The sequence below is a fragment of the Homo sapiens genome, chromosome 12 (genome assembly GCF_000001405.40).
Source record: "Homo sapiens chromosome 12, GRCh38.p14 Primary Assembly".
Lineage (NCBI taxonomy): Eukaryota > Metazoa > Chordata > Mammalia > Primates > Hominidae > Homo > Homo sapiens.
The window spans coordinates 25,079,562-25,091,976 of NC_000012.12; the positions used below are offsets into that span (position 1 = coordinate 25,079,562).

The following is a 12,415-nucleotide window of genomic DNA, read 5'->3' on the forward strand; positions in this document are numbered from 1 at the left end:
ATAGGCAAATACTCCTTTTGCATAGTATAGTTAAATACACTATATATAATATTATGTGCATAGTATTCGCACCATTTGTTTCTCCTGTTGACAGATCCTGGATTAGAAATTCTGAATATGGCTTCTTGTGACCTTGACAGAAACTCGCTCTGTAAGAAAGAGGAGGATACAAGATCAGCTTCTCCCACGATAGAGGCCCAAGGTAAAATGTTGACAGGTGTAAGCATGATTTTAATTCTAAAACACGAAGCAAGTCTATAAGCTAGTGAAGTAACTATCCACACTAGCTCAATAATGTTATTTAATTTTTTTTGTAAAATAATTCTTATAAAACAATTTTGAAGATATAGTCTGCAGAAAAGAAATCCAAGTGGTAACTAACCATGGCCTTTCACACATAAGGATGGTATCAATTTTTTTCGATTTTGTAGCCAGAACAAAAATTATGATATATTGTAATGGGACAAATATTTCCTATGGCAAAGATTGACTGGAATTTACTGGGTTTCAACTGTAGCACAGAAGTGACATCATCTGCTTAGGAAATTCTTGGAATCCTAGTTCGAATTTATCAGGTTAGAACGATGGAGCAATTAGCAATGGTCCACCCAGAGGCAACAGAACTAACCAGTTGGTTTGTTAGGTCCTTTTCTGCTACTTGACTCTGAAAACAATGTAGTTATTCTCGACCATTCCCAGTGAGACACCACTTTAGTTGACATTCATGGGAGGAATAGGCTCTAATTCCCATAAAAAAAAATCAATCAAGGAAAATTCATTCTTTTTCTTTTATCTTTTTTTTTTTTTTGAGACGGAGTCTCGTTGTGTCGCCCAGGCTGCAGTGCAGTGGCATGATCTCAGCTCACTACAAGCTCCGCCTCCCGGGTTCACACCATTCTCCTGCCTCAGCCTCCCGAGTAGCTGGGACTACAGGTGCCCGCCACCACGCCCATCTAATTTTTTTGTATTTTTAGTAGAGACGGAGTTTCACCGTGTTAGCCAGGATGGTCTCGATCTCCTGACCTCGTGATCCACCCTCCTTGGCCTCCCAAAATGTTGGGATTACAGGTGTGAGCCACCGCGCCTGGCCAAGGAAAATACATTCTATCGTTTTAACTCGACGTTTAAGTTTGAGATAGAGGTGCTAAAATAGAATAGCCACAAAATTGCAGAAATGGAATCCATTTCATGGGTTAATTACAGAATGTCTTTATACTCCACCTTATGTCTAATAAGTAAATCTTTTAATTAAAAATACACCAAGGTTCCATTTGTTACCTATCATATAGACAAAGAGGCACAAATTTGATTACACTCTGTTGGTAAAGTTGTAAGAACAAAAGAAAAGTGCTGTAGGGAATCTAACTTTTTGTAAATATAGTAGTCCCCTTTTATTCACTGGGGCTACATTCCAAGACCGCCAGTGGATTCCCAAAACTGATAGTGCCAAATCCTATACACACTATGTTTTTGGCTATATAGACATACCTACGATAAGTTTAATTTATTAATTAGATATTTACAGCAATAACTAGTAATAAAATAGAACAATTTTGACAACATATTGTAATAAAACTTATGTGAATGTGGTCTCTCTCTCTCTCAAAATATATTATTGTGGCTGGGCGTGGTGGCTCACGCCTGTAATCCCAGCACTTTGGGAGGCTGAGGCAGGCAGATCACGAGGTCAGAAGATCGAGGGACCATCCTGACTAACACGGTGGAACCCCGTCTCTACTAAAAATACAAAAAATTAGCCAGGCGTGGTGGCGGGCACCTGTAGTCCCAGCTACTCGGGAGGCTGAGGCAGGAGAATGGCGTGAACCCGGGAGGCGGAGCTTGCAGTGAGCTGAGATTGCACCACTGCACTCCAGCCTGGGCAACAGAGCAAGACTCCGTCTCAAATATATACAATTGTATGTAATATTTTCAGACCATGGTTGACAGCAGGTAACTGAAACCATGGAAAGTGAAACCTTGGATAAGGGAGGGCTACTATAATGTGGAGAGAAATGTTCTAATATCTATCAAAATGTTGAATGTATATATCCTCTGATACAACTATTCATTTTCTAGGAATTTATCCTATAGATAATATGCACACACATCCCAAATAACATATGCAAATGCTTATATATTGCAGCATTGTCTGTAATAACAAAATATTAGATTTTGGCATATCCATGTAATAGAATACTAATATGCAGGCATAAAACATAAATAAGGAGACTTTTTTCTTACAATAACATAAAAGGACTACTGTTTCTTGGGGGAAAAAAGTACAGAATGTTAAGTATAGTGTACACAATTTTGTGAAAAAAAGGACAGAAAAAGTTGGTTTTTGGTGCACATGGGGACGGTCTTACTCTGTTGCCCAGGCTGGAGTGCAGTGTTACAATCATAGCTCACTGCAGCCTCAAACTCCTGGGCTCACATGATCCTCCTGTCCCAGGTTCCTCAGTAGTTGGGACTACGGGTGCAAGCCACCACATTTGACTAATTAAAAAAAAATTGTGAAGATGGGGTCTCACTATGTTTCCTAGGCTGGTCTCAAAGAAAAAGTTTTTATGTATGCATGAAATATCCCTGGAAAGCTAGACAAAATTTAATAACATTGTGTCTAGGGAGATAAACTGGATTTCTGGAAGTCATGGATGGGAGGAAAAATTTTCACTGTAAAACATTTTTACGCTTTTTGATTTATGAACCATATGAATCTACTACTTGTCCTAAAATTTTTTAAAAACTAAAGTAAGGGCTAGGCACGGTGCACATGCCTATAATTCCAGCACTTTGGGAGGCTGAGGCAGCAGGATTGCTTGAACTCAAGAGTTCAAGACCAGCCTGGGCAACATAGTGAAACCCCGTCTCTGCAAAAAAATACAAAAATTAGCTGGGCATGGTGGTGCATGCCTGCAGTCCCAGACACTTGGGAGGCTGAGGGGGTAGGATCACTTGAGCCTGGGAGGCGGAGGTTGCAGTGAGCTGAGACTGCGCCACTGCCCTCCAGCCTGGGTGGCAGAGTGAGACCCTGTCTCAAAAAAAAAACAAAAAACAAAAACAAACAAAACAAAACAAAACAAAAAACCTAAAATAAAATTTTCATAAGGAAAAAATTGTATAGCTGTGAAGAAATTGCTTACCATTTTGTTCTTATTTCCATATAAATTTTACAAATATAATACACGCTTTAAATATTTTTCTCTTAAAAAGGAAGAAACAAAACCTGCCTGTATCTGCTGACCTTTGTGCCTGCACTGAACTAAATGTAGGACAATGGACTGAGTAAACAGGAGAATAATTATCCGGTACATTTCAGTACAAATAAAGTACATAAAAATAAACAGAAATTACCAAAAGGAATGGCACAAGTTAAAAATGCATCTTTTCCTCTTGGTTTCATGACATTTAATTTAGAAAGCTACCATGTTTTAGAAGGATATCATATTTTTTGTTATCAGCCTTGCAAATACAATATTGAAAGAAAATTTGTTAAGCTATTAAAAAAGCTACTAAGTTACCAATTGTTCATCCTTCCGCCCTCCACTTTCTATTATTGTACCAGTCATGTGTTCCATTAAAAAAAGCAGCAGCAGCCTAAAAAATGATTTTTAAAAAATCCTATTAGAAGGCCATTTGTACAGATGTTCACTTCTTTTAAGAAATCTTTTACGGCCTTAGCTGCTCCATCCTAATTCTGAGTCAATGGGCACGTATACATTTTTTGTAGTTCATAATTTGTCTCATATGTTAAGACCTTTGTCAGTTACTGGTCAGCCCATATTGCCACTCTCACTGTTTCCTCCTCTTTTACTTGCTCCTGCCCCCCTAACTGCTTTGTGTGTTTCCTGTTTCTCACAGGCACAAGTCCAGCTCATGATAATATTGCATTCCAAGACTCTACGAGTAAGGATAAAACCATATTAAATCTGGTAAGGAAATACGTATGTTCACAACAAAGGTGGTGGTATCTTACAATGGTAGAACTATCCCTCTAAAAAGTAGTCTTAAAAGTATTATCTCATTTATCCTTTCAAAATATTATGACGTTCATATAATTTAATTAATATTTTATAGGCAAAGTAGTTGAGGCCAAAGTGTTTTTGTGACTTGTCTAAAGTCACACAACAGGATCAGAACTAGGATCTCCTAGCTCCACCTTAATTTATTGTTCATTCATTCATTTGCTCACTCATTTATTCATCAAAAGTCAATTGGAAACAAGCTAAATATTTCTCAGTAGAGGACTGCTTAAATAAATGAATGCATTAATAAATGAAGTTGAATAAAACGGTGGTATCTATCCTAACGATATGTTCTAATCAGGTGAAGAAACAGATAATCACTGAATAATTAGAGTGTGCTTAGTGCTTTGAAAGAAAAAATGCTTGAGATGGCAGGCCAGAAAACATGTCACGGAGGAAGTACCATGTTAATGGCATTGAAAGTTTTACAGTTGCATGGTAAAGCTCTATAAACATAAGGAGAGCTGGAAATGATTAGAGAAAAGAGTTAAATTCCTTCCTTAAAGAGAAAATTCATTAGGCCCAGAGTGGTGGCTCATGCCTGTAATCCCAGCACTTTGAGAGATCGAGGTGGAAGGATTGCTTGAGCCTAAGAGTTTAAGGCCAGCCTGGATAACATAGGGAGACCCTGTTTCTACAAAATATAAAAACAAATCTGCCGGGTATGGTGGTGCTTGACTGTTGTCTCAGTTATATAGGAGGGCAAGGCAGACAGATCACTTGAGCCCAGGAGTTTGAGGCTGCAGTGAGCAATGAGCATGCCACTGCACTCCAACCTGAGCAACAGAGCAAGACCCTGTCTCAAAAAGAAAAAAAAGAGAGAGAGAGAGAAGACTCATTTCCACTTCTATGAATTAATAATCATTAAAGAGTAACTACAGGTCTAATTTCATGATTCTTCAAGGGTCTTGCTTATGTCTTGCTTATGTCTTGCTATGTTGTATGCATGGAGGGGTGTGTGTGTGTGTGTGTGTGTGTGTGTATTATTGTTTTTTTCTTCTCAATATACAAGCATTGTTCTAGTTAAGCATTTGGTTGCAAGAAACAGAGACCCATGCAAGCTAACTCAAGTTAAGAGGAGGCCATGGCACAGACTTGGGGCAAAAAAGTAGATGAAAATTTTTCAGCATTTCATTCTAAAGATAGTGAAATGATTGGATTTGTGATTTGGAACAATGACATGATGTCATTCGTTTCCTTTGTTATCCAGAGGCGATTGATTCCAAGAACCCCACAGATACCAAAATCAGAGAATGCTCAAGTCTCTTATATAAAAATTGCATAGTATTTGCATATAACCTAATGAAACGGGAGAGTTCCCTGATTCCCCTTGCAGGACATGCAGCAGTGGTGTGTCTCACCTGCTTAGTCACCCCATAGTTCAAGCCCCTAGGGGGAACATGCAGACCAGCAGCTGCAGAGGCCAGGGCAAGCGCTTTTGGGCTCTGCCCCCTGGCAGCATCTAGGGGTCAGTGTCTGTGATTCCCAAAGTCCAAGTGAGTGTGTGTTACAAAGCTCTTTCAGATTTGCCATCTGCAGACAGCTTGTGTGTTAATTAGCTCAATGGACCCTCAGCCTTATCACAAGGGCAGAGGGCCAGTGTGACAGCTTTCTGTATCCTGAGCTGTCGCTCAGTGTCCCAAAAGAATCAGATCACACGTGAGCTGGAAGGATGAGTGCAAGGTTTTACTGAGTGGTGGAGGTGGCTCTCAGTAAGATGGATGCGGAGCCAGAAGGGGGGATGGAGTGGGAAGGTGGTATGGAATGGGAAGGGGGTATTCCCCTGGAGTCAGGCTGCCCAGAGGCCATACTCTTCTCCAACTGCCCCAGGCTAAACTCCCCTTGGCATCCAGACATCCCCCCTCTTCTCTCTTTCTCTGCCATGTCATTCCACTATTGTCAGTCTGCCAGTCTGCTGGTCTGCCAGTGTTGTGTGCTCACTTCAGCTGCTTGTGTTGTGTGCCCACTAAGGTCTCGGGTTTATGTTGGCACAGGATGAGGGGCATGGTAGGCCAGAGTGGTCTTGGAAAATACAACATTCAGACACAAAAACAGGAGTGCCTGTTCTCACTTAGGTCTGCAGGCACAGGCCTGAGGGTGGAGCCCTCACTGGGGACCCCGCCTTTCTCTATCCAGCACTTCCCTGCCCACCTCCCATATCACTAACACATCCTCTTATATACTTTAAATCATCTCTAGACTGCTTATGATACCTAATACAGTATAAATGCTATGTAAATAGTTATAATGACAAGAAAGGAAATCTGCGTGTGTTCAGTACAGATACAACCATTGTAGGCCTAACTACATTTTTTTTAGTTAAATCCATAGATGCAAACCCACAAATACAGAGGGCCAGCTGTATAGGTAGGATATAGTGTTGGCTAGCACATATGCTGAAAATGGTTGCTCCTAGTAAAAAATGAACAGAAGAAAACTCAAGTCCTTTACTCTTTCATAGTAGAATCTTCTGAGAGAATAAAATTCCTTCTCATCTCAAAAAAAATATAGACATAAAGACACTTTTTAAAATAATGGATCAATTTGCCATTGGAAGTTGTGGGACTGGTTAGGATACTATGGCAATAATTCAGATGAGATGAAGGTAGTATGAATTTAGTGAAGGTGGAGAAAAGGAGATAAATTTGAGAAATATTTAGGGGTAGAATTCACAGAGGATGATGACATGTCACGGGTATGGGAAACGGTAGATACCCAGGCTTATGGCTTAACCTACCGAATGAATAGAATAACATGACAGTAGGGAAGGAGGAAGGAGAGTAGAATTTGTGGGGTAAAATAAGATCAGTTTGAGACAAGTCAAATTTCAGGCTGATCTGAGACATTGATAGTCGGTAAGGAGATTTTATATACGGCTGCATACCCATATTCATAAACTCACCTGTGCGGTTTTTGAAAGCTGACATATATTTGTGAATTATCAGCAAAAATCCAAGTGTGTGGATGAGATTTCCCAAGGACTGTGGCAGGAAGGAAGGGAGCATTGAGGATAATGGAATCCTGGCTAACAATATCTACTAGAGAAGGCAGAGGAGACTGAGAACGGGCTGTGACGCGGGGCTGGGGCATCAGAACAGGGAAATCAAGGGGAAAAAATCTTCAAGAGGAAAGGATGTATAGATAATTTTAGATGCTATAGTAAGGTCAAGTAAGATAAAGACTGAAAATTATCCACTGGATTTGGCAATAGGGAGTTGATAGCTGGTGAGAACACTTTTCTTGGAGTGCTGTGTAAAGGGGTAGAGTAGTTAATTGATCACGAATGGGAGAGGAAGAGCTAGAAACAGCAGCCACACACAACTCCTTATGTGACCTTAAAACATATCTATATGCGGTAAAAGCCTAACATAACACTGTCTTAGCAGCCATCTTTGTCACAATTTCTCCAAAAACCTATCTAGAAAACTCCATGTGATAGCCCTATATCACCCACACCTTACCTTTTCATCTATCCAGTCCTACCTCTTCATCAAACTTCAGCATGTTTCTTGTCTGCAGAAATTCCATGCTACTCAAGTCATGGTGTCATGGTGCCACTCTCCTTCCTTTTTTTTTTTTTTTTTTTTTTTTTTTTTGTTGAGACAGAGCCTTGCACTGCTGCCTAGCTTGGAGTGCAGTGGCATGATCTCGGTTCACTGCAACCTCTGCCTCCCCAGTTCAAGTGATTCTCCTGCCTCAGCCTTCAGAGTAGCTTGGATTATAGGCCTGCACCACCACCCCTGGCTAATTTTTGTATTTTTAGTAGAGACGGGGTTTTGCCATGTTGGCCAGGCTGGTCTTGAACTCCTGACCTCAGGTGATCCACCCACCTCAGCCTCCCAAAGTGTTGAGATTACAGGCGTGAGCCACAGCGCCCTGCCATTTCCTTCCTATTAAGAGCACTTGTTTATCTATCTCATTTATTTGGCAATTAATCCTAGTTTGCATTGTTGTAATTCACATCATGTTTGCATCTTTTCATGTATTTACGCCCTTTTTGCTTCAACTAGATTGGAAGCGCCCTTGCAGCCAATTTTATTTCCTTCTTAACAGCATTAAAAACTGTAGAGCAGGGGTCCCCAGTCGCTGCTGAGCCAGGGATCAGAACCCATTCGAGGCTGTTAGGAATTGCGCCGCACAGCAGGAGGTGAGCGGCAGGCCAGGGAACATGACCACCTGACCTCTGCCTCCTGTCAAATCAGTGGTGGCATTAGATTCCCACGAACCCTATTGTGAACTGTGCAAGCGAGCCATCTAGATTGCATGTTCCTTAGGAGAATAACGCCTGATGATCTGAGGTGGAACAGGTTCCTTCAGAAACTGTTTCCCCCTCACCTCACCCCCGTGGAAAAACTGTCTTCCAGGAAACTGGTCCCTGGTACCAAAAAGGTTGGGGACTGCTGTTATAGAGTGTTTTTGTCAGAGTAGGCTTAGGAGAGGACAGGAAGTAGGAAAATGACTGGTTATGAAGTATTTCCACTCTATGTACAGTGGTAAAATCTTATGATTTTAGGAAGCCAAAGAGGAACCAGAAACAATAGAAGAACATAAAAAAGAACATGCTTCAGGAGGTAAGGAATGTTTCTTTCAATCCCCATGTGAACTTTTGTTCTCTGCTGATATTTTTGTGGGTGAAATCTGTCTGAATAAAGCTATGTCACTTACAAATTCTGCATCTCTGGATAAGGTCAGTCAATAGGACCGATTATTGATTCCATTTGTGTCATTTTCAAAAAGCCACATTTGCATTGTGTTGACTGTGCGATCCCAGAAAACCTGTAATAACTGGTGCTCTATTGTGAACTAAGAACCAAGCGAATGTTGGTAGCAAATGCTATGCTCTACTGTTAGTTCTTTTTTAGTATCCCATCTAAAAGTAAAGCCCCTATTTACAGAATAAGTGCTAATATGCTTTTCCCCTTAGCCTACCTCCATTGGGATGGAATAGTGGATAGAGTTCAGGCTTTGGAGTCATAGAGACTCTACATGGGATCAATCTCTGACTAGCTATTGATCTTGGAAAGTTACTTAACCTTAAGTCTCAATTTTCTCATTTGCAAGAGGAAAATGAAAAGAAGAAAAGTACACTTAATTGAGAATATATTCTATGCTGAGAACTAGGCTAATTTCATGTGCATAGTTTTATTTAGTCCTCCAAATACTATGTGAGGTGGTAAATTGTGATTCAGTTGCCTAGCCTATAAAATGTGGACAATAAAAGTATCTACAACAGAAGGTTTGCTGTGAGGATTGAATAAATTAATATGTATGAAGCACTTAGAAAAGTGGCACCAAAGTTCTCATAAAAGTTAGTTACTATTATAAAAAAATCAATCTTATCTTAGATGATAAGATATCTTTATCTTATCAATCTTATCTTAGATGGCTTAATGACTTTGTGACTTGTTCAAGCTCACATAACTGTAAGATTCAAACAAAGCTCAGACTTAAACCAAGTTTGTTTGACTTTAAATCCAATGCTCTTAATAACTAATACATAGTCCTTGGTAAAGTTGTCATAAAATCATATGTGTAAAATGCTTTGCTCTGTGATTGGCAATATAATAAAGCCATGGTTGATGCCATGTTTATTGTCACTGTTATTGTTACCAGTATTATTATTACTACTATTATTATTACTACTACTGTTCCTGCTACTGCTAATAAAGCCTTGATCCAAAGAAGAACCAGGATACCAGTAGGAGGTTTAGGCTTTTAGCCATGGGATCAAGTATAGCAAACATGCAAATGCAAAGAGAACAAATTGGGCTGTTGCTTGATTCTGAGACATCTTTAAGTATGAAAGACTATTCACATGCTGAGGTATAAACAAATGATTGTAATGGCATTGTGATCCCAATAGCTTAGCATAACATTATAATTTAAGTGCATACATTATTAGCTGGCGATCATCTCAGACATATTTAAATGAAATACTTTTGTTTAGTGGAGATATAACATTAGATCAAATGTGCTTTTACAGGTCAAGCCTTTTTAACCAAATAATATTTTATTATATTTTAATAGACTCTGTGGTTTCCCCTCTTCCTGTAACCACTGTGAAATCGGTTAACCTTAGACAAAGTGAGAAGTAAGTGCTTCTTCATGTAGCATGTTAACATGTTTTATTTTTCTGTTGGATTATGTTTAAATATGTTTTTTGTCTTATCCTACAGCACTTCTGCTAATGAGAAGGAGGTGGAGGTGAGTTTAAAGCAAATTTTTTTTCCTTTTAAAAAAGTGTTCCAGACTCACCTGCTACAGTCACTTCATGTTTTGGCACAAGCTCTCATATGCTCGGTGTCTGTTTGGCTTGGCTGTGACTCAGTGCAGGTGAACCCTGTGCATGTCAGCATTATGTTGCTGGGGGGAGAAAGAAATGCCTCAGTATAAAACAGTATTAAACTGAAACATCTGACCACATCCGGTTTTCTCTCCTCTTCCTCACCCTCACATTATTTTGACAACAGGCAGAATTTCTCAGATTATCTTTGGGATTTAAGTGTGACTGGTTTACCTTGGAGAAGAGAGTGAAGCTTGAAGAGAGGTCCCGTGACTTGGCAGAAGAAAATTTGAAGAAAGAAATCACTAACTGTTTAAAACTATTAGAGGTGAGAATCAGAACATTTGGGATATAAACATTTGGTCTAGCCAGGCACAGTGGCTCACACCTATAATCCCTGCACTTTGGGAGGCCAAGGCAGGAGGATCATGGGAGACCAAGGCAGGAGGATCACTTGAGGCCCGGAGTTCAAGATCATCCTGGGCAACATAGTGGGACCCCATCTCTACCAAAAAAAAAAAAAAAATCAGCCAGGTGTGATGATGTGTGCCTGTAGTCCCAGCTACTTGGGAGGCTGAGGCAGGAGGATCATTTGAGCCCAGGAGTTGGAGATTGCAGGGAGCTATAATCACACCATTGCATACCAGCTTGGGTGACAGAGTGAGACCCTGTCTCAAAAACAAAACAAAAAACACCCACAGAAAACATTTGGTCATATTTTCAATAACACTTTCATAATTACATATGAAATTACTTGTATGACCCAAACCAGTACCAGGTGCCAAGCTCTGCCTGACCCAAATGTGAATCATAGAAAGTAAGAATGCAGGATCAGGCTGAAATAAAAGTTTCACTAATAGGAGAGTATCAGCTATAAAATGAAAAATGTCTTTTTAAAGTAGGTTGCATGAGTCATCTGCCTTTTCTCTGGATTTTCAAATTTCAGGCAGAAAAGGAATCATACAGAAAACTGAGCAATAGGAAATATCAATTTTAAGCTTCAAAGAAGAGAATCGAGTCTATTTCCATTTATGATTAACTGAGGAAAGAGAATGGTAACTGATTCAGTCTTGCAGATGATGGGCAAGCCTGCTGTAGGGTACTGAGAGAAGAATGGGGGTGCAGAGGAGTGTAACAACTACTATTATCCTTCCATATGGTGAAGTTACCATACATTTAGAGATGAGCTGGAAAATTAGTAGGCTTAGTTTTGGATGAAGGACATTAAAATTGAGAAACCATGGAAAAGAATCACGTTATTTTTTACCGTGATAAAATATGTAACATAAAATTTATCATCTTGAACATCTTCAAGTGCACAGTTCAATGTAAGTTTATTTACATTGTTGCAAAACAGATCTTGAAACTCTGTACCTGTTAATTTCCCTTTTCCTCCTTACCCCATCCCCTGGTAACCATTATCCTACTGACTCTATGAATTTGACAACTTTAGGGACTTTGCATAAGTGGATTCATACAGTACTTGTCTTTTGTAACTGGCTTATTTCACTTAGCATAATGTCTTCAAGGCTTATCCATATTATAGCATGTGAGCGGATTGCCTTCTTTTTAAGGCTCAATAAAATTCTCTTGTAGCTATCAATTTTTGCTTATCTATTCATACATCGATGGGCATTTGGGTTGCATCCACTTCTTGGCTATTGTGAATAGTGCTGTTAGAAACGTAGGTGTATAAATATCTCTTGGAGACCCTTGGAGACCTTGCTTACAGTTCTTTTGATTATATCTAGACTCAGGAGTGGGCTTGCTAGGTCATATAGTAATTATATTTTTAATTTTTTAGAAACCACTGTACTGTTTTTCATAGCAGCTATATCATTTTAGATTGTTACCAACGGTGCACAAAGGTTCCAATTTCTCCAAATCTTCACCAACACTTGTTATTTTCTGTTTGATTTTATGATAGCCACCCTAATGGATGTGAGGTGGTATCTTATTGTGGTTTGGTTTGTATTTCTCTAATGGATAATGATATTGTGCATCTTTTCATGTGCTTGCTGGCCATTTGTACATCATCTTTGGAAAAATGTCTATTAAAGTCCCTTTCTATTTTCTTTGCAGAAAAAAATTTTATTTATAAAAGTAC

The 12,415-nt window shown here is 39.4% G+C and overlaps 1 protein-coding gene across 21 annotated transcripts in view; it reads left to right on the forward strand.

Annotated features, from left to right (window-relative positions):
* Window positions 1-12,415, forward strand: part of IRAG2 (inositol 1,4,5-triphosphate receptor associated 2) — a 110,761-nt gene that overhangs the window by 81,987 nt on the left and 16,359 nt on the right. For 19 of the 21 annotated variants that reach the window (NR_159368.2, NR_159367.2, NM_001394803.1 and 16 more), the window contains 6 exons: window positions 95-202; window positions 3,862-3,932; window positions 8,539-8,596; window positions 10,053-10,116; window positions 10,202-10,229; window positions 10,496-10,636. Coding sequence is in view for 17 of the 21 variants with exons in the window: in NM_001394803.1 (NP_001381732.1) it covers window positions 95-202; window positions 3,862-3,932; window positions 8,539-8,596; window positions 10,053-10,116; window positions 10,202-10,229; window positions 10,496-10,636 (470 nt within the window). In the remaining 4 variants the exon portion in view is untranslated. The remainder of the gene's footprint in view (window positions 1-94; window positions 203-3,861; window positions 3,933-8,538; window positions 8,597-10,052; window positions 10,117-10,201; window positions 10,230-10,495; window positions 10,637-12,415) is intronic. The other 2 variants (NR_159369.2, NR_159366.2) reach the window with 1 other exon arrangement.